We start from the raw sequence: 27,622 nt of genomic DNA, 5'->3' as shown, positions 1-27,622 counted from the left end.
TTTGGACTGGCTAGCCTCCACAAACATGAGAGCAAATTCCTTACAATTTATCTCTCACTGTCTTGCTCTCTCTCTCTACACATACGCACACATGTAAATTATTATATATATGTATATGTGTTATGTATGTGTTTATGTTTATATATGTATGAGTGTACATACAGATATATACACACATGACTCATATGTATATATATATATAGATATATATGTTATATACGTGTGTGTGTGTGTATAAGATTCAGATTTAATTAAGTGCCCTGTGTTTTATCTGGCTCTCCTAGTTTGAAGGAAAGTTACAGGAAGTATAGAACAGACCTACCGTGACAGACTGATTTGAATAATGTACCTAATGATGACTAATTTATCAACGTATTTGTATTTTCTTTATGACAAGCAAACACATGAAAATCTTATTTTAGTGCAAACTGTGCATGTCCAATGTCATAGATGCCCAACGTCATTGGTCCTAAGGAAAAAGCAAATTAAAATTAAAATCACAATGAGATACAACAACACATCTACTAGCAAGGTTAAAATTAAATGGACTGATCATACCAAGTGTTGACAGAGAAACCTGAACTCTCATATATTGCTGGTGGGAACAGAAAATGGTACAAGTTTGGAAAAGTTTTCCAGTTTCTTAATATAGTTAGTAAATGCCTACTATATTATCCAGGCATTTATACAAAAATACGAAATCCTATGTATACACAAACCATTATGCACAAATGGCCATAAAAGCTTTATTGGTAATAACCAAAACAGAAAACAATCCAAATGTCCCTCAGGAGGTAAATGGATGAACAAATATTAGTATATTTATTAATAAAATGCTAATGGGAAGAAAAAAGAGTGAACTACTGTTTCAACATCAATAAATCTCAAACGATTATCCTGACTGAAAGAAAACAGATTTTAAAAGATTATGCACAGTATAATTTAATTTACACAAAATCCTAGTATCTAATCTATAGTAACCGAAAGATCAGTGGTTTCCTGTAAAGGACATGGGTAAGGGGCGAGAAAAAAGAATTATATTTAACAGGAACACTTAGGCAATCAATTTCTCTCTAGGCACTGCTTTCACTGCACCCCAAACCTTTTGAAATGTTAGGTTTTTGTCGCTTATCTTAAAAGATTTTATAAATTCTCTTGTGATTTTTTAAAATCTTATGATTTATTTAATAGTATTTCCAATGTTGTGGGGCTTTTTAAAGTACCTTCTCGTTTTTATTTCTAACTTAATATTATTGTGGTCAGATAGCATAGTCTATAAGATTTCACTCTTTAAAACACATTGGTCCTTATTTGATGCCAAGCCTATCCTCTGTGTTGGTGGATATTAAATGTGAACTTGGAAAATATAATTTATATTTTTCACTCGTTCAGTGTAATTTTCTATAGGTATCATTTAAGATGTTTTGGTTTATATTGTTCTTTATATTTATTGCTGATTTTTAAAATTGTTTTTATTTCAGTACGTTTTGGTATACAGGTGGTTCTGCTTACATTAAGAAGTTCTTTACTGGGGATTTCTGAGATTTTAGTGAACCTGCCGTCAAAGCAGTGTACACTGTACCCAATACGTAGTGTTTTATCCCTCACTCCTCTCTCAACCTTGCCTTCCGACTCCCCAAAAATGATTGTATCATTGTTATGCCCTTGCATCCTCACAGCGTAGCTCCCACTTACAGATGAGAACATACAATATTTAGTTTTCCATTCCTACCTTACTTCACTTGGAATAATGGCCTCCAGCTCCAACCAAGTCGCTGCAAAAGACATTATTTTGTTCCTTTTAATGGTTGAGCAGTATTCAACGTTGTATGTATCCCACATATTCTTTCTGCACTCGTTGGTTGCTGGGCACTTAGGGTGGTTACATATCTTCACACCTGAAAATTGTTTTCATATAAACATAAATGTGCATGTGTCTTTTTCATATGACTTCTTTTCCTTTTGGTAGATACCCAGTAGTTGGATTGCTGGAACAATCTACTTTTACTTGTTTAAGTCATCTCCATACTGTTTTCCATAGTGGTTATACTAGTTTATATTCCCACCGGCAGTGCAAAAGTGTTCCCTTTTCACCACATCCATGCCAACATCTACTGTTTTGTTTTTTTAATTTTTAAATTACAGCCATCCTTGAAGAAGTAAGGTGGTATCTCATTGTGATTTTAATTTCATTGCTGAAATTAAAATTAACATTTTTAAAGTCTCCATCTATTAATGCAGATTTAGCTTTTTTTAACTGCAGGCCTTCCAGTTTTATTTCATAAATTCTGAAATTCTAATCAATACACGTTTTTACTTGTTACGTTTTCTTGATGAATTGATGTGTTCATCATTATGAAATATTTTATCTGGGGTGAGATTTATTACTTTGAAGTCTGCACTCATTGATATTAATATAACTGCACAAGTTTTTAAGCAGAAAGTTTGTATGGTGTATTTTTTTCCATATTTATTCATTTCAACCTATGCTTGTTTTGATATGCACACCTACACTTCGTGCATCTTTTATATACAACATACAGTTATTTCTTGATTGACATTCAGTCTGAAAACCTCTTGTTTTCATTGAATTATTTTTTCTAATTATATTTCGTGTAATTTTGATATCTTTTGGCTTAAGTCAACCATCTTGGTATGTGTCTTTCATTTATCATTTCTCCTTTTTGTTTCTCTGTTACTCCTTTCTCATATTACTTTGGCTTAATTGGCTGGGATTTTTTTTTTTTTTTTGTATTTTCCTTCTCTCCTCTTTGAGCTTTTTAGTCACTTTTTTTCTATCATTAATATTTAGTATTTGTGCTAGTTTAATGATATTCAACTTTAATCTATCAGACTGCTAAATTTCAAAGTTAATCACTTCACACTTCACTTATGTGCTCCTTTTCATTCAACAGCTGAACAGCCTCTGGTTTCGCCTACCTCTGTCTTCAAATGGTTATTTTTCATCTATTTTAACGATAGAGTGTATCGTTAACTACAGGGAGATTTTTCTGATATAAGCTACTCCACCATCACTGGAAATGGAAGTCTTCATTTAATTTTCTACACATGATAGCATATATTAGAAATTTCAGAATAAATAACACATTATAAAATATCTCTAGCAGGTTATTAAGACTACTCCAGAGATATTTGTTGTTTGTTTGTTTGCTTTGACATCATGATGTATATTTTAGATCTGAGAAACACTTCTTTAATATGTAAGGTCGAATGCATCTTTAATGGATCACTGAGATTCCTTATTCAAATTATGTTGATAGCCTCACCTCTTTTTCTTCTAGGTTTCTTGTTCCAAACAATATATTTCAAGTATATGCTATGTGTTGCTCAGAAACAAGTCATCATATTTATTGAATGAAATAAGATATGAGAAGAGATTTTATCTTGTCTCAAGAGGTTTATTATATAGCTGAATACAACAAACATGTTAAACTAACTTCAGATTTTTAAACCTGGCAATAAAATGTGTAATGAGTGTACAGATTTATGGGTCATAAGGTTTAGGGAAGTCTATAATGTCTAATTCGAACACATTATTGCATCTTCTCTTACTCTAAATTAAAGTTTTTAGGCTAGATCTCCTGAATACCACTCACTAGTTGGATTCAGATAAAGCAAATTACAATTCACACAAAAGGCATATCCTTTTTAAATGGAAATAATGGTGTCAGCTCCTTCACAGGAGTTAATAGAGTCCTCCAAAACCACTGAATCAGAAGCTCACATTTTTAAATACTTTGCTTTTCCTTTGTTCCTTGGTTATGTGTTCATTGGTTTATATTTGTGTTTGTATTTGGAAAGAGTATAGTGTAGTCTGTAATCTCTCTGTATTTTTATGATACAGGAAGGTAATTATTTCTCGTCTGTTAGAATTATCTTGGAAAAAAATAAAATACTCAGTATATTTGATATGATGTGTTTGCCTTTTTTAACATATCTAGATAATTAATGTTATTACATGGTTATTATCAGAGAGTTAAAGCCATTACATGGTCAAATTTAAAATACTTCAACCAGAATTTTAAAATACTTTGTCAATACAAGTATTGACCAAATACACAAACCCAGTTTTCCACTCTCAAAGAATGTACTGTCTGGGTACTTCTGAACTGTTTTTTTTATAACACTTGTTATTATTTTTTGGGTTGATGTGGATTTTTTTCTACATAATTATCTGATTTGTTTATAATAATGCAAGCATTCTTTCAGAATACAACTGGCATCGTGCATCAAACTCAATTCATCTTTAGCAAGTTTTATGGCATGAATTCCAAACTTATTTCAAATTAGCATAGCTCTTCACTGGGTCTGGAGTGAGAGAATCCCATAGAAAAGGTGAAAAAGCACCACACAGAGTAAAAGAATCATGGGGCATGTGAACAGTCATATATTTCAAGTTGCTAAGGGCAGTCTTGTAAGATGCTGAGGGACTATTGCTCTCTAAATTGTGTCTTTTCATCCCTCTGTGTATTTTATGCTTATTTTAGAGGCTCAAAGGCACTGGATTTATTTCTTGAGGAATGCAGCTTATATTTTAGTCTCTTGTGTTCAATTTCACATTTTCCAAAGTGCACTACATTTAATAAATCTAGGTTAACAGTTCTCACATGAATATAGGCAATTGTCAACACAACACAACATATTTCTGAGCTGTTTAGAGGTCGTGGCACACACTCAGGAATCATGACACTGCGGTGATATGCATACATGATTAAAAATGCTTTTTCGCTGCTTGCAAATGATGTACAATTTAAAAATCAAATCATTTGACTTTATTTTAGCTTTAAGTATAAAGTTTGAAAGTGATACAGAACATCCTGAAATTGAATGTCCAAGACTAACGATACCTGCAGAAATACTCAAAGAAATAAATTATTAACATTCAGGTAGTTCAATTATATCAGCACTTGAATTATATCCTGTTGTTCACTCAATACCAAAGGAATAAATATACTATTTGAAACATTATGTCTTTTACACAGAAAAGAAATTCTAAAAAGTGAGTCAATCACAGGTTCAAAACAAACTTGAGAAAATAAACAGGAATCTCTTTTGTATTAAACTGGGGAGCACCTAGAAAAGGAAGTATTCATGTAAGTTCTTTTCAGTGTGATGCAAAGGTTTGTCTCTAAATTTTTAAAAAATACTTAATAAAGTAAAATGAATTTAATGATTGTCATTAGATTAAATCTTTTTTTTTCTAGAAGTAAGAAAGGTAAGATATCATTAGTTACCTTTTAAGAGATATTGTTCACATGAAGGCCATTACAGTAATATGCCTAGTTCAGTAGGAAGATGTATGAGTTTGCTTTATTTGTTTCCTGAATTATAAATAACTTAAATACCCTAGCAAGCTGCAAAGAAAAAATAGTCTTTCATTTTACAAAAGACTTCCTGCAGCTATCCTAGTTTTGTAACATTATAGGCGAAAAAGTTCTGCAAGTATCAATACCCACATTTTATCACTGAGATGTAGTAATGGGAAGTACATTTTCCAAGGATAGCGATACAGTTATTTGTGCTTTTTGTCCTCACCCCAATCTCATCTTGAATTGTAATCCCCATAATCCCCAGGTGTTAAGGGAGGTACCATGTGGGGAGGCAATTGAATTATAGAGTTGGTTTCCTCCATGCTGTTTTTGTGATAGTGAGTGAGTTTTCAGATCTGATGGCTTCATCAGCATCTGGCATTTCCCCTACTAGCACTCTCTCTCCTGCCACCTTGTGAAGAAGACGCCTGCTTCTGCTTCAGCTTGCACCAAGATTGTAAGTTTCCTGCGGCCTATCCAGCCATGCAGAACTGTGAGTTAATTAGACCTCTTTTTTGTACAAATTACCCAGTCTCAGGTATTTCTTTACAGAGGTGTGAAAACGGACTAATATAGGTGTTCTTTATGTCTTTGGCAACTTATAAATAGAAAACAAACTACCAGAGTCAGAACTGAGTCTTGGAATCCAACTTGAGTTGAATGGCAAAATATATACATACATACATAAGAGAATAAATATTTGACATCTGGCCTCCTTTCTTTCATTACTAATTCTGGTGGTGTTTAAAACAAGCTTTCTAAATCCCAGTAGTTTTCATATTCATAATAAGTATAATAATACATTGACTTAATATCTGCAGGCTGGAAAAATAAAACTAGTTCTCAATATTAGACACATGAAATAATTTCTTTCTTAAGTTGCCTTTTCTTTCTTTGTTCAGGTTATAGTTCCAATTTTTAATCTAATTGTGTTTCAAAAAGGCAATTTTCTATAGTTTAAAGATCTTTTCCTTGTAGACAATATCCTCAACTCACATGCTCTCAAATGGTTTGTAGTTATTAAATACTTTTTATTCTCATATTTCAAACCAGTTATCTAATTAAGCTGTATTTACTCTATAATACAACAAAATGAAGAAGTACTTAAAAGTTTAATGTTCTCTGAATACCTTTGCCATCATTTCTAGCCTTCATAGGAAAATAGCTATGAAAGAGCAGAAACAGACAAATAGTGTTCAAGCCTTTATTTGTTCTTGGAAGAAAATGAATGTTTTAATTTTTATACAATGCACACACCTTTACTGTGTCCTTGAATGTAAAATGCAATGTAATATCACACAGGGTAACTTTTATTTTTCTGGGTACTGCCTGCAAAGCAAGGCAAAATTGTTTGGGAAGAAAAAGAAAATCTTTGAAGAACATTTTTATAAAGTAAAAAGAACTTCATTCTTAATAATTCCGATCGAATGCATCTCCAAAGAGAAAACGATCAGTGCAGTTGAATGTCCTGTCATATTCCGACAGAAACTTATTTCTCCTGGGTGGATTTCAGCTCTTCCTGTGGAGCTCTTGGGCAGTGGCAGTTTTTAGGCACCATTCCTTGTCTTAATACTTTGCTGCTAAAATAGGTAAACGCGATGACTTCAGATTATTGCGCTCCCTCAAAATTTAATCACATTTTACTTCTTTCAAGAAGATTTAGATACTTAGAAGGCTAGAGTCAACTAAACAGAATTTATTTCTCTTTAAAGTTTTATTCTTTGAATTTCTATAGACCTGAGAAAGAATTTTCATTCAGTAGACTTCATCTTTTTAGATTTCCTTAGAATTTGTGGACATGTCTTACAAATCTCCAGTCATACAAAAAAGTAAAGCATAAAGAGAATTAAACAAATATTTCAAAAGTTTAAAATATAATATGAAAACTGGAGCAATAGAATAGTGATGAGTTGCAACAGGTTTTCACATTGGGGATGTCCTTTGATAGTATACAATACTCCTTAAAAGTCATGTTAGTTAATTGGATGCATTCAAAATATGATATTCCATTTCTTAAAGGGGCTTTTAGAGGTAGTAGTGAGCATAGAGAGTTATTCAACAATATTGTCTTTGGATCTCTCTCTTTTTCTCTCTGATAGAAATAACAAAATTAAGTAGGTAAGAATGTATTTTTTTACTCATATAAATGGCCAAATTAGTGATGTATTAATAATTGATTATCATTAAGCGGAACTGAAGATTTCTTCAACTTTTTTTATTGATTTCTTTTTTGTTTTGTTTATTTTTTATTTTTTATTTTTTTGAGACAGGGTCTCACTCTGTCACCCGGTGTGGTGTGCAGTGGTGCAGACATGGCTCACCGCAGCCTCCTGTCTTAGCCCCCTGAGCAGCTGGGACTACAGGCACATGCCACCATACCCAGGTAATTTTTTATGTTTTGTACAGATGGGTCTCCCCTGTTGCCCAGGCTGGTCTCAGATTCCTTGCCTCAAGCAATCCTCCCCCCTCAGCCACCCAAAATGCTGGGATAGATGCCTAAGCCATGATGCCTGCCCATTCTCTAACTTTTCAAACAAGTTTCTACCACTACTCTTCCAGAAATAACAATAAAATGATGCAAGAATGCTTGGGCAGGTGGGAGGAGCACTTTCATTCGTGAGTGGCTTCATACTTACACAATGGAAGTCACTCAGTAATGCCAACCATAATCGAGACCACAAAGACTCCCAAATGACTACCAGAATTAGACATGTTGGCAAATAGGCCACAGTGATAGGTTGTTTCTATTAGTTCATCCATTTGATTTTATTTTTTCAAAGTAATCCAGGGAAAAAATGATATAAGATTCTAGTTTGGTAAGATTTCTGTTTATTTGGCAAATGCAGTGCCTAATACTGTTCTAAGTACTACTTCATAAGTGTTAATACATTTAACTGTTTTAGAATGCATAGGAAGTAGATTCTATTGTTATGCCCACTACATAGATGGTACATTTGAATATAGAGAGGCAAATCTTAGAGAATAGAGTCACTCAGAGAATAAGTAAGCTAGGAACCAGTAGGTCTACATCTAGTGGCTAGACATGGTGGTGCCAGGTGGTCTTTCCTAATGACTTCTGAAAAATTCACCTTAAGATGTGTGTGTATGTGTGTGTGTATGGGTGTGTGTATGGGTGTGTGTATGTGTGTGTGTCTATGTGTGTGTGTGTATGTGTCTGTGCATGTAAGCAGGTTGATAATTTAGTAAATCAGAAATTAGAAGGTCAATACACGCCTTTGCTTAAATAGTACATGTACTGTGTAGGGATATGGAAGTGTAGGGACAATTTTAGTTGATTTCTGGACATGGTCAATAAGTTCAATAAGTGTTGAGCTCTTCCTGCTGCCAGAGGTTCTAGGATGTTTCTGTGATCCTTTCTCTTCCCTTAGTTATCTACTTCACACTTTTGTCTCATCCGTCATTAAGATTTCTTCCACTTCCTCACGTTCCACTGATGATTTTGCTCTTCCGTTCAGCAAGAACAATAAAAGTAACCCAAGAAGAGACTCCACGTGTTCCCACTTGAACATGTTCCTATTGATACTAGTATCATTATGCCTTATTATCTCTCATTTTTCTGTTTCTGGACTCTTCTTTTTTCTACCTAGGACCAATCTTTATGCGCTCACTATACCCATTAACTCTCATCTTCTAAAAGATACCACTTCAGAAATTTTCTCCCCTGCATTAGCTAGAAAAATATTGAACTATTGTCTTATCTTTAAAAAAACTCTCATTTGACCCTGCATTATCTTGCAGCTACGTCGTCCTCTGCAATCCAACCACGTCAACGTCCAGCAGCCAAGGACTACTAGTAATAGACATATATAGTTCAACAATACTGAGTTTAATTGTGATTCCCAACAAAGGAGAACACATAGTCCATAATTGTTGGGCATCTTAGTATGAGGATGTTAGAAAAGGCATATTATCAGAGCTTGTGTTTAAGTGACATAGGAAAGTTTCAAGAAAGCAAGGTCTCTGAATTTGATGCTGCTGGGAATTAGGATGATATCCTGATTGAATATCTTAAGAAACCTTATCCAAAAAGCAGAAGGAATAAAGGGAAAGGTAAACTGGCTGAGTTCATTATAGACAATGATATTTTATTTTATTATTTATTTATTTATTTTTGAGTTGGAGTTTCGCCCTTGTTGGGCTGGAGTGCAATGGCGTGATCTCTACTCACTGCAACCTCTGCCTCCCAGGTTCAAGCGATTCTCCTGCCTCAACCTCCAGAGTAGCTGGGATTACAGATGCCTGCCACCACTCCTGGCTAATTCTGTATTTTTAGTGGAGATGGGCTTTCACCATGTTGGTCAGGCTGGTCACGAACTACTGACCTCAGGTGATCTACCCACCTCAACCTCCCAAAGTGTTGGGATTACAGGCATGAGCCACTGCACAGGGCCCACAGTGATAATTTAAATAGGATTAAGAGACAAGGTTATTCAGCAGATGTTTAAAGGCAATACTATCAATTACACATAAAGTTCTAATTATATTTTATCTTTTGCCAGCCTTTAAAACAGATAAAATAAGTCCCCCTCCATTTTATTTTATTGTGTTAGAGTGTATTTTGTCATTTTTACCCTTTGCTTACATATAATAATTTAAATTTCTTAAAAATACTTTAATATGCAAAATGCTTCTCTACTATACTCTGAGTCTGTCAGTTGGAAGAGTTTTGACAGTAAATAATACTCAGCAATGGCTCAAACCATTAGGCATTTATCATTTTCTTAATAAGTACAATGAATAAGAATGTATCACTTAAAATACTTCATGATATTTGCAATAGCTGCCATAATTTCAGTTAATATTTTCTAAAGAAAATTTCTAATTTTAAATTAATACATAGATTTCCATTAAGCGAATCTATATCAAACCAATCAAATACTCTGTCACTCACATAGTATTAAAAAGTGATGTCGGTTACAATCTTTATAGGCCTTTATTTTTTTAAAAAAACTAATTGGTTTATTTAAAAATTAGTTATTATCATCTAATATTCCAATAATAAAATATGACCATGACTAATAATTACAATAACTAATTTTTAAATAAACCAATTAGTTTTATTACATATATATATATACTTTATAGATCATCTCTTAGAATTTTGCAAAAAAAAAATACTGTCATATGGAAAAAAGAATTACTGATTAGCAGCTCTTTGGCAATCACCATAGAAACTATTGCACTTCCAAGTCTGCATTGTATGTATCAGTATCGCCATGTGCAAATCTATCTTATTTTATCTTATCTATTTTGATTTATCTGGGGAACTAAGATAATGCTGTATTTGCTATTCTATTTCTACTGTAATTAAATATTTCATTTGTTATTTATTAAATACAAAAAGATTTCTTTATGTGATCTCGCAGGAGCTAGATTGTCAGGTTGTAGTTTCAGAAAAGCATTTAGGGAAAAAAATGCCTTCTAACTGTGAAAATACTTGCATTGCATTTATACATTTTTTTGAGAATCTGGAACCTTCCCTAGCTTTTCTTTATATTTGTTGATCTTGACATTTTTGAAAACTATAAGCTTCTTATTTTGTATAATGTTCTTTTATGGTTTGTAGTGTGTCCTTCTAAATAGAAATAGGTTATACATATCTGTCAGGAATAACACAAAAGCAATGTTGTGTCCTCAGTGCATCATATCAGGAGATATTTCACAATACTTTTTCTAATCTTATTGATCAGCTAATTCATTGGTTCAGGCAGTGTTTCCCATATTTCTGCACCAGAAATTATTTTTATTATTATTATTATTCCTCTGTAATTAATAAATATCTTGTGAAACAAATGTTGAGTGTTATGTAAACATGTTTATTATCTCATGTTATACACTAGTTTTAATAACCTTTGATGAATTTCTACTTTCATCATCCCTTCAATATTTATTGGTTGGCATCCTACTACAAGAAAGGACTTTTATTAATCTTTAATTATTTATTTGTGCCAGCATAGACTCAGGTTAGGACTCAGATTATAATCCATGCTATTAAAGCGATATCATTGTCTGGAGTAATACCCGAGGTTCGTTGTCCCACAGCCATGGCAAACTAGGATGTGGACACACCAGAGTGAGGTTAAGATTGGAAATTTAATAGGCAAAAGAAAGAGAAAAGCTCTCTCTGCTGCAGAGAGAGGGGTCCTGGAGAAAATGGGTTGGCACTTCAGTGGTGAAGTGCAGGAGGTTTTATAGATGAGCTTGAGGAGGCAGTGTTTGATTTACATGGGGCATGAAAGATTGGTTAGACCAGGTGTGTGCCATTTGCATACCGTGCAAAAATCTGGCCACCCCTACTCTAATCTTTGATTATGCAGTTGGGTTCTTTACCTGGCTGGTGCCATGTTGCCTGCTTCTTTTACTGTATGCATGGTGACAAAGAAAAGGGAAGATGGAGCCTCCATGTTGAACATACCTGTCCCACAGGTAGCCTTTTCCTAGTGGAACAGCTGCCGGCCTTCACCCATGGACGCTTCCAGCTTGCTTATCTATGTCCGCAGCTTGATTTTTCAGGCTGCTCCTTGTTAGAAAGGAAATGATTTGAGTGCTGATTTTTATTAAAAAGAAAGCCTTGCCGAGGACCCCTTTACCCTCACTATCTGCCTAAATGATTTCTTTCTAGCTCCTCTATCACTCACTATTAGTACTTATTTTGATGGTCAAATTGCAAAAGACTATTTGAAGTGCTTCAAATCAATTATGATTATAAAACTTTCCTTACTCAATATAGAGACAAGTTGGTTCCCTGTATAACATTAGAATTAGCATATAAGGAATTTTATTTGCTGATTCCCATGGTGGAGAACCTGACAGAGGCACCTGTCGGGACATTTATTTTCTTTCTTTTTTCTTTCTTTCTTTCTTTCTTTCTTTCTTTCTTTCTTTCTTTCTTTCTTTCTTTCTTTCTTTCTTTCTTTCCTTCCTTCCTTCCTTCCTTCCTTCCTTCCTTCCTTCCTTCCTTCCTTCCTTCTTTCCTTGCTTCCTTCCTTCCTCTCTCTCTTTCTTTCTTTTTGAGACAGAGTCTCGCTCTGTCACTCAGGCTGGAGTGCAGTGGCGTGATCTTGGCTCTCTGCAACCTCCACCTCCTGGGTTTAAGCAATTCTCCTGCCTCAGCCTCCTGAGTAGCTGGTACCACAGGTGCGTGCCACCATGACCAGCTAATTTTTTTTTTTTTAGTAGAGACTGAGTTTCACCTTGTTGGCCAGGATGGTCTTGATCTCTTGACCTCGTGATCCACCCCCCTTGGCCTCCCAAAGTGCTGGGATTACAGGTGTGAGCCACTGAGCCTAGCCAGGACATTTCTATGGTGGTTGTTAGTGATTAGGAAGAGAGGATGCCTGAAATGCTAAGCTTTTCACTCCTAAAAAATCCTAATTCAATGTGCAATATGAAGTCTGCAGAAACACACTTAACAAGAATTCTGTTATGTAACAAGAATTACTATGACTTAGGTAATCCAGGAACCACATTCAGAGAAAACTGTCTAGTAGCTCTAGAGTAATAATATCTCTTTAACTCACTGTTGTATGGCCGGTTCCCATCCCACACAGATGCTTACTTCTAAATTAATGAATGAAGGGTAAGATTTGTAGAAGCTGAATTGAAGATGGGGACGGAGTTTGACATGAATGACAATTAATTTGAATAATAATTTTCTATAAATATCTTACTTTCTTGTTTTATAATTTTTTGGTCTTATTTTTATCAACCCCTATTCTGCTCTAAATTACTGTACTTTCAAGCAACATTGTTTGAACCTTTCACTAACAGTTTGAATGGGTTTAAGAATGCAGACACCTTTTTCTAATTGTTTATATATTAATAGCCTTGAAGATGATTTCAACTGCAAACATAACATATTATAGTAATTATCATAACAAAACTGTCTCTTGCCTGATTCTGGGAGGTGCATTTGTTTCTCAGTGTGGTTAATACTGAGGATTTTCATTTCCATCATGCCTTCTACTTCTAGCCCTCATCCATTACGTTTCACTCCTTCACTTCTAATCTTTACAGTTGCCCAAATTGTTTATCAGGAATTCTTTTGCATTCCTGTTTGATTTGTATATACACCAATGTGGTGCTATGAAGGTGTACTGATATTTAAAACTTAAAGACTTGCCTACGTAAATTTGACCATAAGCCCAATTCACACATTTTCTCACCGAAACATAGAGCTTAAAGGGTCATCTTCTTAGGGACCTTTCCCCTCTTACCACCTGGAGGAAAAACAATAAACTTTAATTACTTATGCTTACCTACCTATGTGATGTTAATACATACATTTAACAGGTGAAATTACAGTATCATTATATGAAACTTCAAATTATGAATGTTCATAACAGTGTTATGGCAGAATGGAATTAACCTGGTTCAGGTCCTGCCCTATCACTCAATGCTTGTGGAATGTTGGCCAATTCATCTAAACGCTTGGAGTTTTACTTTCCTCGTGGGTTAAATGCTGGTAATAATACATGTCCTCAGAAAATATATGTGAAATAACAGTGAAATATACCTCATATAAATAAGTTTCTTAAATTTCAGTTCAGGAGCATTTATGTGATTTAAACCTCTCCTATTATGATTATACATAATAAAAATAATAATGCATAATGCATATTTAAAATTTAAAAATGTCCTTTCTAAATAATTGGTACATATTATTCAACCATTTTCATTTTGGAAGCTAGATATTACATTTTTAGATTAAGGAAAGTGGAATATGAACCTTTTTAAGTTTTTTATGTAAGTGAGACTTTTCTTTGGTCTCTTCCACATGCTTATAGTCATATACACATTCTACTTAACTCACCATGAACTAGGAGACTAAATTTTATTCATTTATTATTCCTTTTGAGGAGGGAACTGGATGGTTTTAAGTACAAAGGATCTATGCCTGTCATACAACCCTGGCCTTGTTAACATCTTAGGAAAACAAGTAGTGACACCATCATGCTCACCCCTGACCCACCATTGATGCTAAAACAAAACAAAAAAAAACAAAAGATAACAATCTTTGCCTTGAACTAGAACTAAGAGAATCCCCTTTACTACCTAACTGTGAAATGGCAAAAGCACAGCTTAGTTATCTTTATGAAACTTTAAATGAAGATATCGAAGACCACCTAGAAGTGGTATAGATCAGAATTACTCACTGATATATCAGTTGAGAGCTGAAGAATTGACCCAGTCCTCGACTCACTCGATTTTCTGGCTATTGAATATATTGTTAAAAGGATTTTGATGGACTAAAGAAGTAGGAAGAGAGTATTTAAAAGAGAAGAAAAAACACAAAACCTTGATTTATGCTACTTAAACCCTGATTATATTGTATCTTTTCTGTACAACCTAAATAAATCCCCCTTTTATTAGAGGGAAAAAAATAGGGCTTTATTTTGATCTTCAATAACCCCAGAGAAAGTAATCCAAAACACCATAGAGAGAAAAGATAAATGAAAACACAGAGCCATATTTAATTATCTGATTTTAATTAAAATTGCTTGGGCATCCTGATCACTTTTCATAGGTGTGCCACACATTTTGATGAGTGCACATAGTTTATTTTTGCTAGAATTGAAGCTTCATAAATTTATAACAATATTGGTTAAATGGACCATTAAGCTGAATAAATTAAACCAAGTCGTACAAAGTCGGTAAAGCTTCCTATAAAGATAGTGGCATAGGAGGCTTCAGGTGAAGTTAAGCTACCATTAAAAAATGGGAGACACCTGGCATGGTGACTCACACCTGTAATTCCAGTATTTAAGGAGGCAGAGGCAGGAGGATAACTTGAGGCCAGGAGTTAAAAGCCAGCCTGGGAAACATAATGAGACCTTGTCAAAAAAAAAGAAAAAGTGGGGGCAGTGGAGGTGTCACATAAGGCAATGGAACATTCTAGAATTCTGATTAACAAGGATCACACTGGTTATAAGCACGTTAAACTCCGTATTTTATCCTTGTCCCTTATGTTCTTGCAGATTATCTTTTTTTCTCTATGTGGCAGACTAGCTAATTTATTGCATTCTATTTTTTAGCTTCACAAGTTCCTTCTTGCACAGTGTCTAATATAGTATATACAATCTCCATAGTACTTCTAGCTTCAAAGATATATTTAAATCTTAAATACACTCTTTAGTTATTTTGCAAGTATACACCATCATAGATCATCTTTTCATTATTCCTTGTGTTGTATTCTGTATTTTACACAAAGCTTTTTCTTGTCATGTTTCTGATAATTACCTGAATTATCTGAAGTTCTTGGAGATTTCTATGAACCATCTCCTTCATGGTGGGTTATCGTCTGTGTTTGGTCATTTTTGACTACTAATTCATATTTGGTTTAAAATGATTTATGGGAGGTAGGGGTGAAACTGGCCTCAAATGACATTAGCACTTTCATGGATCTTGGCTTGATGCAGGTACCTTGCTGCCTTCCACGAGCCCAGCACTGGGTTGGAGCTGTCCCTATGGCAACTTCAGTGGAACTGTTTGTTGACAGTTTAGCTTCATAAGATTTAGCTTTTTCTTTCTTTTTTTTCTTTTTGGAAAAGGTGGAAGGGTTGTTGGGATTTTTCTCCTACCCTTGTGTGCCAACTATTCAATAACAAGTTTATGAATCTGCATAGCGGGTAACCCTCAGAAAATCTGGTCTGCCGTGTTTTTGTGCTCTCGTCCATTCTCACAACAATGTCCCACCTCAGAGACGTAATAGAGAATAGATTAGGACATACTGGTGAAGTGCCATCGTAATGACAATATAAATATTTCTATTTTCTCATTACATTGAAACAGAATTTAATGTCACTTCCTGATTAAATTATTTTTAAAAAAGAATCACAAAGAAGTTTCCTAATCCTGGTAAGGGAACTAAAGCATAATTAAGATTGGAAAGTCCAATTATTAGAGTTTCAGCTATCTTCTTATCCTCTTAAACCAAACCATCATTTATTGACAGTCTTAATAAAAAGATAAAGGGCAAAATGTCCCAATGTTTTTTTCTTCTTCTTCTTCTTTCATTTCTACCATTTACTTCGTGTGTGTGTGAGTGTGTGTGTGTGTGTGTGTGTTTGCATAAGTTACAGTTATTCTGGGCATCAAAGTTTTTCCTTAAAAAACCTAACAATGCCTAACTTGAGTGATTCACAGACTTATAAGAAAATTGAAACCATGTATATGTTAGAATGTTATCTAACTTAAAATTACATATCTGTGGAAAAACTTTATTGTGATACTTTTATATTAAAAATCAGTCACTTAGAAGAAAATATCAAACTTTAATTACAATGATACTCATTTTCTGTACCGAGTTGTCAGGAGGTATAAGCTGGAAACCAGGATGGCGCCACCATCACAGCTGAGAATGATGACAACAGAAGTCTTCATTGTAGTGTGTCAGGTCTTTTGAGGTACCAAGAATTGCGGAAATTATTTTCTTCTATGTATCTTACTCTGTGATAATTTTTTCTTATTTTTTAAAAATACAGCAAAACACACAATAAAACACAGCAATATACTGAGGTCTCACATTCTCACGGCTTGTCTTCCTACACTTATTCCAATTCAGAGTACACTTTGTATACATCTCTTCGCTGGTTAGTTCTGAAACAGTACTCTTTCTTATATTTGTTTTAAACATCTCCAATACTGAATATTGTAGGAGTCTATTTGCCTGAAAGATAGCACTTGAGCTGAACGAAAATAATCTATTCAGTTTGGACATACATCCTGACCCCAGGTTTTATGCTTCATGTCTCATTTCCAAGGTTAAATGAACTGGATTTTCAGGATCAATTCTGCAGTCAATTGAATTAACATTTTTAAGGCTCTTTTACTATAGAAGTGACTCTTACATAAGCAAAAATATTATAAAAGTGGTTTTCTTTTTAATGTAATTATAATGGAATCTCATAAACATAAAAATTATAGTTTCATTGAAAGTAATGCTGTGTGTTTTACTAATGTGAATTGTTCGTTCCTCTAAATTTGAGAAAAAAAATTCTGAAATCTCTACTAAAGAGAAACTTTACAAATGTGCAATTCTCCCTCAGTATGCTCATATAATTTAATTGTAGAGGTTGGATCTAATAGACATCTTAAAAGCTAAAAAGAAAATATTTAAAAGTCATTTACTTTACTTCAACATTTCGCCTCAAATTGTGTGTGTTCCTGCACACGTGTATGTATGTGTGCGCATGCTGTCTATATATACACACACACATACGCACACAAAATTCAAAGACAAATACATAATATATATAAGTTGTGTAGTGACTTATTTTTCCTTTTCCTTTTATTTTTGGGCATTTAAAATTACTGCATGTAAAATGAAATTGCTATATAGTTACACAGGAAGGGGAACACCACACTCTAGGGACTGTTGTGGGGTAGGGGGAGGGGGGAGGGATAGAATTAGGAGATATACCTAATGCTAAATGACGAGTTAATGGGTGCCGCACACCAGCATGGCACATGTATACATATGTAACTAACCTGCACATTGTGCACATGTACCCTAAAACTTAAAGTATAATAATAATAATAAAAAAACTTGATTGTTCTTAAAGTATTGGTCATATACAGTATACAACATATTCCAGATCTTGATATACAAAAACATAGGGTTTATACTCACAAAATTAGAACATGAAGCTGTAGGGTAGTGAATCATATAAGTTTTTCCTGCTTATATAAACCATTAACATCATTATATTCATTAATAAAATGAAAATGCAAGTTTGTTTTTGAATGAAAGTATGCTGTACTTTCAACATTCTCATTAGTTACATAGTTATTAATATATTTGTTTCTAGTGTCTGTTCACATGAGCATAAAATAACCAGATAACTAAGAGCTAAAGTTGAGAAGAGAGCTTATTAACATTCATCTTGGCATCACTGACAAAAAGTAATATCCATTATATATTATTTTTTAGTTTCCTAGAGTTTCTTCATTCGTAAGAGATTAAGATGAGCTGTTGTAAGATATAAGTGAGTTTGAGTCATCAAGAGTGCATTGCATTCAGGATGGTTTTCATGTTAAGTCAATATCATTGCATCTAATTTTTTCAAGTGTATAAATTATTAATTACACATATGTCACTGTGACTTTAAAAAGTATTGTATTCTCTAGAACTTCATTTTCTTTATCTACTCTGGATGCCTGGAAGACCACTTAACTTATACTCATTATTGTCTTTTTCTCTATTCTGGTGTTTTGTGTTCATCAATGAGGCTGGGATCATCTAAAGGCAGTCCTTTATCTTCCACTCAGTTATCATTATAAGTAAGAAAGATTTGTTCTTTATTTATAATCCCATTCACATATGGATATCATTAATTCATATGAATGGTTGAATTATGTTGAGTTAAACTGCAATCTTCTGAGATCTTATAAATAACTGTATTTGAGTGGCTTCAATTAATTATGACAATTATCTATTTGAATATTATTTTCCAATTTAGGATACCAAGTTGCATATATTTTTCCTTAATGTATGTATCTCCAAACAGAAATTCTCTGTTTACCATATAACAATTATCAACCTTTTTATATAATTCCCATTATTTCCCATAATAAAGCTTTATCTTTTTATAGTGTTTTACTGTTTACACAGTCTTTCACTTAATCATTCACAAGCCTCTGAAACACAATAGTAATTAACTCAATTTTAATCATGAAGCTATAAAAGTTCAGAGAATGAAAATGGCATCTAGGGCACAGCAAAAATGTGGCGAAACTGAGCTTCTGACCTAGATTTTATAACCACAGACCAGAGGTAATTTCTGGTATACCACACTGACACCAAAGCCCAGTAACATTTAATAACAAATAATTCACACTCTATATTCTGTTAACAATGAGATTAAATCTGCACAATAATATGTGACAATTACACAAATAACAGCTAAATGTTCTTTCCTTAGCCACCAAAATCCTTACCTTAATATAAATTAGATTGTTACAGCAAATAAGATATTTCTCCTTTCATTCGGTACCATATTTTCTAGTCTTATTGCCTAACAGTCACTTGGCAGGTGACAACAATACGCCAGCATTAACCAGGAATTATGAGACTCTTATTTTTACATTACTTCAGATACATCTCTCAAGGTTCCCAATCACACACATGAAAACGCACACACAGGGCCGGGCGCGGTGGCTCACGCCTGTAATCCCAGCACTTTGGGAGGCCGAGGCGGGCGAATCACGAGGTCAGGAGATCGAGACCACGGTGAAACCCCGTCTGTACTAAAAATACAAAAAAATTAGCGGGGCGCGGTGGCGGGCGCCTGTAGTCCCAGCTACTCCGGAGGTTGAGGCAGGAGAACGGTGTGAACCCTGGAGGCGGAGCTTGCAGTGAGCCGAGATCGCACCACTGCACTCCAGCCTGGGCGACAGAGCGAGACTCCACGTCAAAAAAAAAAAAAAAAAAAAAAACACAGGCACACATCCTTTTCAGTTACATTCTAAGCCAGTAGAAGTTAGCATAACAATGAAAAAGTGTCAGAATGCAACGCACACTGCCTGTCTTGATTTGCTTGAAAAATTTCCCACAGAATTATACGTTACAATGTCGGCCAAATCACAGCCTTAAACATCTCCCATTTTTCTTAAGGGCTTATCCCACTCTTCTGAAATAGTTTCAATTACATTTAAAATGCAAATGCTATTATTCCTTTCTTGTTCTTTATTATATCCAGCCGACTAACATGATTGTATTAGCTTTCATTGCCAACTTTCATACACCGTCATATATACACACAATATACATTATTAATAATTAAAAAATAAACATACACTAACAGAAAATAAATTGGTTTATCTATTATTTGTCATATATATTTCACTTGCCTCCAGGCATCGTGGACCAGAAAGAGTTAAAAAATAAGTTGAAGCTTTCATCAACTTCAATTGGATTAGGTCAACTGTAAATAAAACTTTAAATGGTGACTTGGAAAATAATTAGTGTTATTATTAGAACAGTTTGTAAGTGAATACATGTTAAATTGAAAATCTGAAGATTAATATTTACAGCTAGTGCTTTAAAACTTTAACATGTTTAAATCATTTAGCTTCTTGCAGTTTGTTTAGCTTAGCTTATTTTAAGCTGCTTTAGATTTTATATTTCAATATAAATGCTAACAACACTATTTGCATTTGCATTTCTTGGGCATGTGGATCACTTCACAAATATCATTCCTACATTGTGTAACTATGCCGTTGACATGAAAATAATTGCCTATGTCTACCATCCAATGTAGTAAATGTAATTGTGCATGAAGATAAAATAATTTAAAACTTCCTCAGAGGGCAGAGTGAAAAGGCAGCTACCATTACTTAACCACTACTACCTCCTGCATGTATCTTGTAGACAACTAACCTCAATTGTAGTCATCAGCAGAGCTTCCTGGCAAATAAAGACATTTACCAGATCCCAGATCTGGTGATTGCTTGTAGAAAAATCAAAAATCTACTTATTGCCTGCAAATTACTACCTAATTTTTTATTGATGTCTCTTTCCTGATTTTGTTCCTTAGCTGGCTGATCTTGGAATATTTCTTTCAGAGACTAATTTGTGAATTGAGATTGATAATTTAGGCTTGATCTCCAGAAATCCATTTCCTTAAGATTTGATTTTTATATTTTTATGTTGATTTTTAATAATGCAATGGTGACAATTCAGATTAAGGGCTTGGGTGTATTTCCTTGACATAGACAGTAAGAAGTAAAATGCATCTGATTTTTCAATAAATTAAACTGTTCAAAATGGGCATAATTTGGCAAACCCTGAGTTTCTATTGATGCTCCTGTATGGACAAGTGGAAAATAATTAAATATATTGACTTCCTGAACTATTATCTCTACTTGAAATTTAGCCATTGTTTTCCATAAAGAAGTGACTCCTCTCCCTGTCTACAAGTAGCTCCAAGGATTTCACTTCAGGAAATCACTACCACATACATTGTTATTTAGTAGTAAAATATAGCATAAATTCCTTTCATGTCATTATTTTAAATCATATAAATTCATACTATATTTACAATTATGACATTTCATTTTATAAAATAATTTAAGCAGTAGAGTGCTGGTAAATGTTTAACAACTTGTTCTCCAGAGAAAAGGGTAGTGTTTGCTGATTACTGTTGTGGTCTAAATAATCCCACCAAGGCTGACATCAACCTACCAAAATGATATCACTGTACCTGGAGTTGGGAAGAGATATGAAGAATTAGTTCCTGTGAGCTCATTCTAGTTGGTTTCAGTATAATACTGAATTTAAGCAACTTGATAATATATATTTATTTAAATCATATTTGGAGAATTTTCCAACTAGACTTAATATTAATTTTATCAATCAGCTCTTCAATCACTGTTTTTAAAACAAAGCCTATATCTCAAGTATTGACAGTCATCATATATAGCATTAGATTTCAGAAGAAAAAAGAAAACTAAAATAAGCAACGGCAAAAAATTTACTACTATTACAATTAAGCTTAGAATACTTCATATAAATACTACCTATATTAGGAACATTCTTCCAGCCATCTCAAAAATTAATTTTTTAAATTAATTTTTTTAATTAAAAAATACCACTGAATGAAATGTAATACTGTATTCATATAATCATCCACACATAAATAGCAATTGGGTATATGCAATAATTTTAAATTATTATTTAAACATGAACCTTTCTTTTTCCAATCTATCATTGGTAACCATTTGAAAAAATTAATGAGAAAAAACACACATTTTAAAAGCAGAAAAAGCAGGGTGAATGATGTGTGTTCCTTTTCTAAAATACATCCACACCTCCGTTTAGTGGTATGTGCAACAATCAGCAGTTTTGACATCATCCAAATGTACTAAACTATTTCATCTTCTTGCAGACAACAAGGGGATTATTACAAACTGTTTTCTCAGCACCTTGCTGACTTAACAACTCTGTAATTCCTGCACCACACTCTGATTTTATTGAACTGGGTAAATACGCGTGTTTTTTTGTTTGTTTGTTATTTTTTAGTTTGAAAAACTTGCATGTGTGATTAAAAGTTATGAACAGTATCTTTCACTGTTATAATTTTTTAAAATATATATGCATATTAATACAGCAAGAAGCATATCTATATAGTCATAAAACAATGTCTACAAAACTCTATTCAAATTAAAGAACTGTTTGCAGGTAATGAAATTTATTGGATTATTTATACTTATGAAGTTGAAGGCCACTTTTACATACTTCATTTCTAAAGTTGGGCTGCAAGTTTACAGAATCCTACATAGTTCTTCTTTGTGTAATCAACATATTAATATTCTAATTCCACTGTCTACCTTTCAAAAAGCACTTTTAGAACATGATTCTCTACACAGTGTTTACTATCTGTAAATGTATTAGGAACCCAACAATGAATTATTTTTAAAAGGAGAAAGGAAGGAAAAAATAAATCCATTCTTACTTGAATGTATATGCACATTAAACTAGTATTAATCTAGGAAAAATAATAGGTAGAAACATCATTTTGGTCATGAAAGTCATACTCTAACAAGCTCAACTCAAACTTAAACACATGATGACTTGCAATTGCCTTCCTTCCTTTGGCACATCTAAACCACACAGAAATCATACATTGCTTGGTTAATTCTTGAGGGACATATTTGCATCAGAATTTAAAGATGGATTTTAATTTTTATAACATTATATTAAGACTTTTAAAAACTCAATATTTTACTCAATAGGTTTGCAGCAAGAAAGGTTGTGTTCTTGAAATCGTCTTTGGAGCATGTAGAACTCATGATCTTGAAAAATAATTCTTGCATCAAAGAAAATCTCAATTCTCTCTGAAGTCTTTCTAAAATACAAATATTTTATTCCAATGTTTTGACATTCTAATGGCTCAGAAGAACAATTTATATGTCCTTGTAGCTGTGCTCCTCTTTGAGATGTGACCTGCAACAGGGCTCAATTGCTTTACTATTAGTTCTCCATTTCCATGCTTCATTTCCTTCATGTAGCTCGGGCTGGAGAAAAATCAGCATGTTCTGATGAGTTTAATACTATGAGGCAGTATGATGGACCTGAATTTAGTGGAGATTGGAGCTCCAAAATAAATACAACACCATGTGTCAAATAAAAAAGAAAAGATATTCTCCTGTACAAATCAGAAGAGATAATAAAAATCAATGAACAGACAGCAACTTTTTTTTTTATCATACCTACACAAGCATCTCAAAACTATCAAATTATTTACCTTTTTCTTATTTGGAACACTTCATAATTTATTGGATAAACAATGGTTTATATTGCCTTAAACTAAATTTTACTGGCTTTTGTGGTAGGGTTTTCAGTTAGGAAGGAATTTCTGGGAATTTATATATTCCTAAATAAAATATTTCTGTTAATCAAGAGCAACATAATTCTGTTGGATTCTATAATATAGTAAGCTATAAGCATCTCTGTAAATTAAATTTGTCCCAAGTTTTGATATGCAACAAGTTCCAGGGTTTTTCAATAGCTCATCATGTTCTATTCCTCTCAATGACAGTACCATGAAGGTATGTACAGGGCATCTTTGACTCACTGACAACACAGGGCACTACTTTCTCATAGAGGTTTGGTGCCTTTGCAGGTATATGAGAGTTGCTATCTATTCACAAACCACTGAGCATTTATTTTTATCAAAAAACCTTCAAATGCTCAGAGTCTGTGGTCAGTGCAGTCCTTTAGATAAGTCTAATGAAGATATGCCTCACCAAGGCAGAAATCTAAACAATTAAAAATGGAGAAATATTTACAACCATCTGTCTCCAGCAAGGGGAGTTCTTGTTTTCTGTATGTAGTGGTTTATTATTTTATTTCATTTTATTTTATTTTTTGCTGTTACTTTTTCTTCAGTACATTTCGAATTAAGGTTCCAAGGCTATGAGTACAAACTCTCTTGGCCAGTCCCATACATGTCCGCGAGTCGTTTAAAGCGAGGTCCCCAGTCACTTAGGTAGTCATAGTTCTGATCAGAGTTTGAGCTGATGGAATCTAAAGAGCTGAGTGATTCAGCAACTGAGCCATTTCCTTCAAAAGCATATGTCTGCAGGGAGTCATAAGGAGGAGCACCAGGATCAACATCGGCTTCTTTTAATCTTTCCCAAATAAATTCCCTAAAGATGACATTATCTGGGATGCTTTTAAAAGCTGGTCGACTCAGGAATTGAATTTCTGGAGTCACATCCCTCCGGGTCTTGGTGTCTCGGATGACGTTGAGGTTTCTCAGTGCAGCCATGTCAAACGCTTCCGTGTCCTCCTCTCCCCCGCCCTCGTCATCGTATCTCACAATATTTTCTCTGATGTCTCTTTCTTCGTCAAAAATAAGGGGCTCTTTTTTCCGTCTTCTCATAGTGACGATAAGGAGGATCAACACTGAAACAATAAGACAGGAAGAGAAAGTTTCAGTAAACTCACCCATTGCCCCACGTCATGGTAAAATTAGGCCTAGGACGCTGAGTTACAGGTTTTCTTCCCTTTAAAGAGAAATGAATTGGCCACCTACTTCCACAAGGATTCACAGCGGTAGATGTGCTAAAATTGCTAAAGTGGCTTTAAATTAGAACACTTTTATACATCAAGGAACCCTTTTCCACACCTGTTCAGAACTGATGTCTTCCTCTTTAACGTAACCTCCAATGTATTTGATAGAAGAAATTGAAGGGCCAGTTCATGATAAATATAATCATTTCAAAGCCAGGAAACACAAAGGGATTTTTTTGAACTCCTTAATTGCTGGAAAGGCAAATTGAAATTCATAAATGTTTTGTGTCTAATTTAACAACTGCAATTTCACAAAGAAATGGTTTATAGCACTCGGTCAGGTTCTTTGAAGAAATGCCTACTCCTTCTCTATGAAAGTCAACTGTTAAATAAAATCCAGCATGTCAGGCCATTTACAAAGATTAAAAGCTTCTCTATAATAAATTGAGTCCCACTTTCATGTATAAAATACTGAACTTGGTCTTTATCCATTATACCTACAGACAGAATACAAGCTGTGAGATTTTCAGCAACTCTCAAAGATAAATTTAAGAAATGAATCACCCCTTTAATGTTAGGAATTTATCTTCCTATATCAAAACTAAAAATCACATCTTAAAGCAGGAGGTTGCACTGTAAAGCAAATAAGAACAACTACACTGGTTATTTGGGGGACTTAAACAATGTATTCTGTGCATTTTTCACTAGTATACACAAATAAGGAAAGTGCTCTGGCCTCTGAGTGACTGCATGCTCCTTGAATTGGGAATACATTTGATTTCATTGCAACTTCAACTAAACTACAATGAAATAAAAAGAGTATTGTTGAATTTTGGAATTTAAAAATATGTAAAGTAATGAATTACCTTTATTCATCTACAAATACCTTTTAACAATTTATATTGCATCAGCTTACGATTTTTTTCTGGAAAGTCTGAATAGCCCATAACGTACATTATATGGATTATCGTTTAGGGTACATTATTGTCATCATATTTTTAAAAGCAGGCGTGAAATATTTTTAAAGTATCTTGTAAACTTTTTACTTTGGCATTAGGAACACTTTTGAAAATAAAAATATAAAACCATGAAGGACATCAACGTCCTTAACTGCAGTGTACTTAAATGCAGTAACCAGGGGTGAGGCATACTCCATCCCCCACCTCAGTGTACTTTCAAAAACCAAAAAGCTGAGCACTTATTTAGTTTTAAATAAAATGAATTCATCTTCAATAAAAATACATGCTTTCTTAAATGTCTGTTGGCTATCTGTGTTATCATCAACAGGAATGTGACTGATGAAAAACTGTATTGGTGATCTGTGGAAATAGTTGTGAAAACAATTGTTTTTTTGTGGCACTTTTTCCTTTTCTTTCCCACTGGACCCTACTGCACTGCTCTTCTCATAAGCTTTACACTTTATGGATGGCCTACAGTTCAGAAACTGATACATTTCTGAGCTTTTCTGGCCACCTTCTCATGCTGCATTGGCACAGATATCCCTGCTCTCTTTCTTTTTGCTCCTGTTTACTTCATTTGAATGTTTTCAACCAGCTTCACCAAAAGGGCATATATGTACTAGGTTGATGCAAAAGTAACTGTGGTTTTTGCAATTAAGGTAATAGCAAAAATCACAATTACTTTTGCACCAACCTAAGTTCAAAAGTTACTGCTTGTATATCTTTCTGTTCCCATAAGTAGTCTGGTATTCACCTTCCTTCCCTGTTAAGTGGATTGTCCTTTCTTGTCTACTGAGAATTAGCACTTTCACCATTCTAATGCCTTGTAGTTCTCAAGGTACATGACAGAATGCTACAACAGCAGCTGCAGCTTTGGTGTCAGAAAGGCCTTGTCCAACCTTCCTACATATTAGCTGTGTGATGTTGGAACAAGTAACTTTCAAACTAATTGAAATTAGCAATATATGATAATAATAGTCAACATCAATCTTCACAGTGTGGACTGAAGAGATAAAGAACATTGGAAATAACGTAAGTAGAGTTAGCAGAATCCCAGTTACTTATCAGTATGCAACAGAGCAGTTTGTTTTTAAGGTAACAAGCAAAGTAGAAAGTGTACCATATATGGCTAGGCATATGTACCAAAGATTAAATGGGAAATAGGAAAGGTGGTATAGTGAGAAATGAAGGTCTGCACACAGGACATATTATTTAACACTCACAACAATTCTCTGGGGTAGGTGTTTTCCCATTTGATGGTTGTCTTAGACACATAAAATAACCTGTCTAAATATAATTAAATGCAATAGTGAGGGGTGAGGCATACTCCATCTCAGTCTGTCTTCAAAGCCCCCGCACTGTTTATAACACTGTATGCTTAGTACTTTCAAACAAGGTGATTAAAAAACAAAGGCTAAAGTTGACAAGTATGAAAGCTCAAAAGGCAATTTGCTTGCTCAAGAAAGACAACAATTTTTAAAATACATGGATGAATAAACAATTATTTTATATTCATATACAACTTTAGTTTCTGAAATTTTTCACATAGTTTCCCCAAAATGAAAGCAATTGTAGTAGAAAGAAAGTAGAACCCAGTAGGACTTCTTAGTGAGAAATCAAATTAAGTAAAGCATGGAATGAAGAGGGACGTTGAGAGAAAATAGTGATGGGATGCACAGATGGAGGCAGGTAGAAATAAGACACCTGTTACACATGTTGAACAGCATAATTAAGGAGGAGAAATGTCCAGTTGAGAACAAAAGGGTGTAAGAAATGAATGAGTATGAGAGTCAGTA

At 33.9% G+C, this 27,622-nt stretch overlaps 1 protein-coding gene across 3 annotated transcripts in view, besides 1 other annotated feature; it reads right to left on the bottom strand.

The window, feature by feature from the left end:
* Positions 1–14,822: 14,822 nt before the first annotated feature.
* The window catches only part of CDH7 (cadherin 7), a 140,086-nt gene continuing 127,286 nt past the window's right edge, over positions 14,823–27,622 (bottom strand). For all 3 annotated transcript variants that reach the window (NM_033646.4, NM_001362438.2, NM_004361.5), the window contains exon 12: positions 14,823–24,759. In NM_033646.4, the coding sequence (NP_387450.1) occupies positions 24,266–24,759 (494 nt within the window). In that variant the 3' untranslated portion in view covers positions 14,823–24,265. The remainder of the gene's footprint in view (positions 24,760–27,622) is intronic.
* Positions 23,929–25,128: an enhancer, noted in NCBI's record as "P300/CBP strongly-dependent group 1 enhancer chr18:63547268-63548467 (GRCh37/hg19 assembly coordinates)". NCBI's record gives its function as "activates an origin of replication core promoter dependent on BRD2, BRD4, P300/CBP, MED14 and CDK7 cofactors, with strong dependence on P300/CBP, by STARR-seq in HCT116 cells {active_cell/tissue: HCT116}" and the evidence as "EXISTENCE:reporter gene assay evidence [ECO:0000049][PMID:35650434]".

This window comes from Homo sapiens, chromosome 18 (genome assembly GCF_000001405.40).
Source record: "Homo sapiens chromosome 18, GRCh38.p14 Primary Assembly".
Classification (NCBI taxonomy): Eukaryota; Metazoa; Chordata; class Mammalia; order Primates; family Hominidae; genus Homo; species Homo sapiens.
This window is presented reverse-complemented; position numbering and strand designations above follow the sequence as displayed.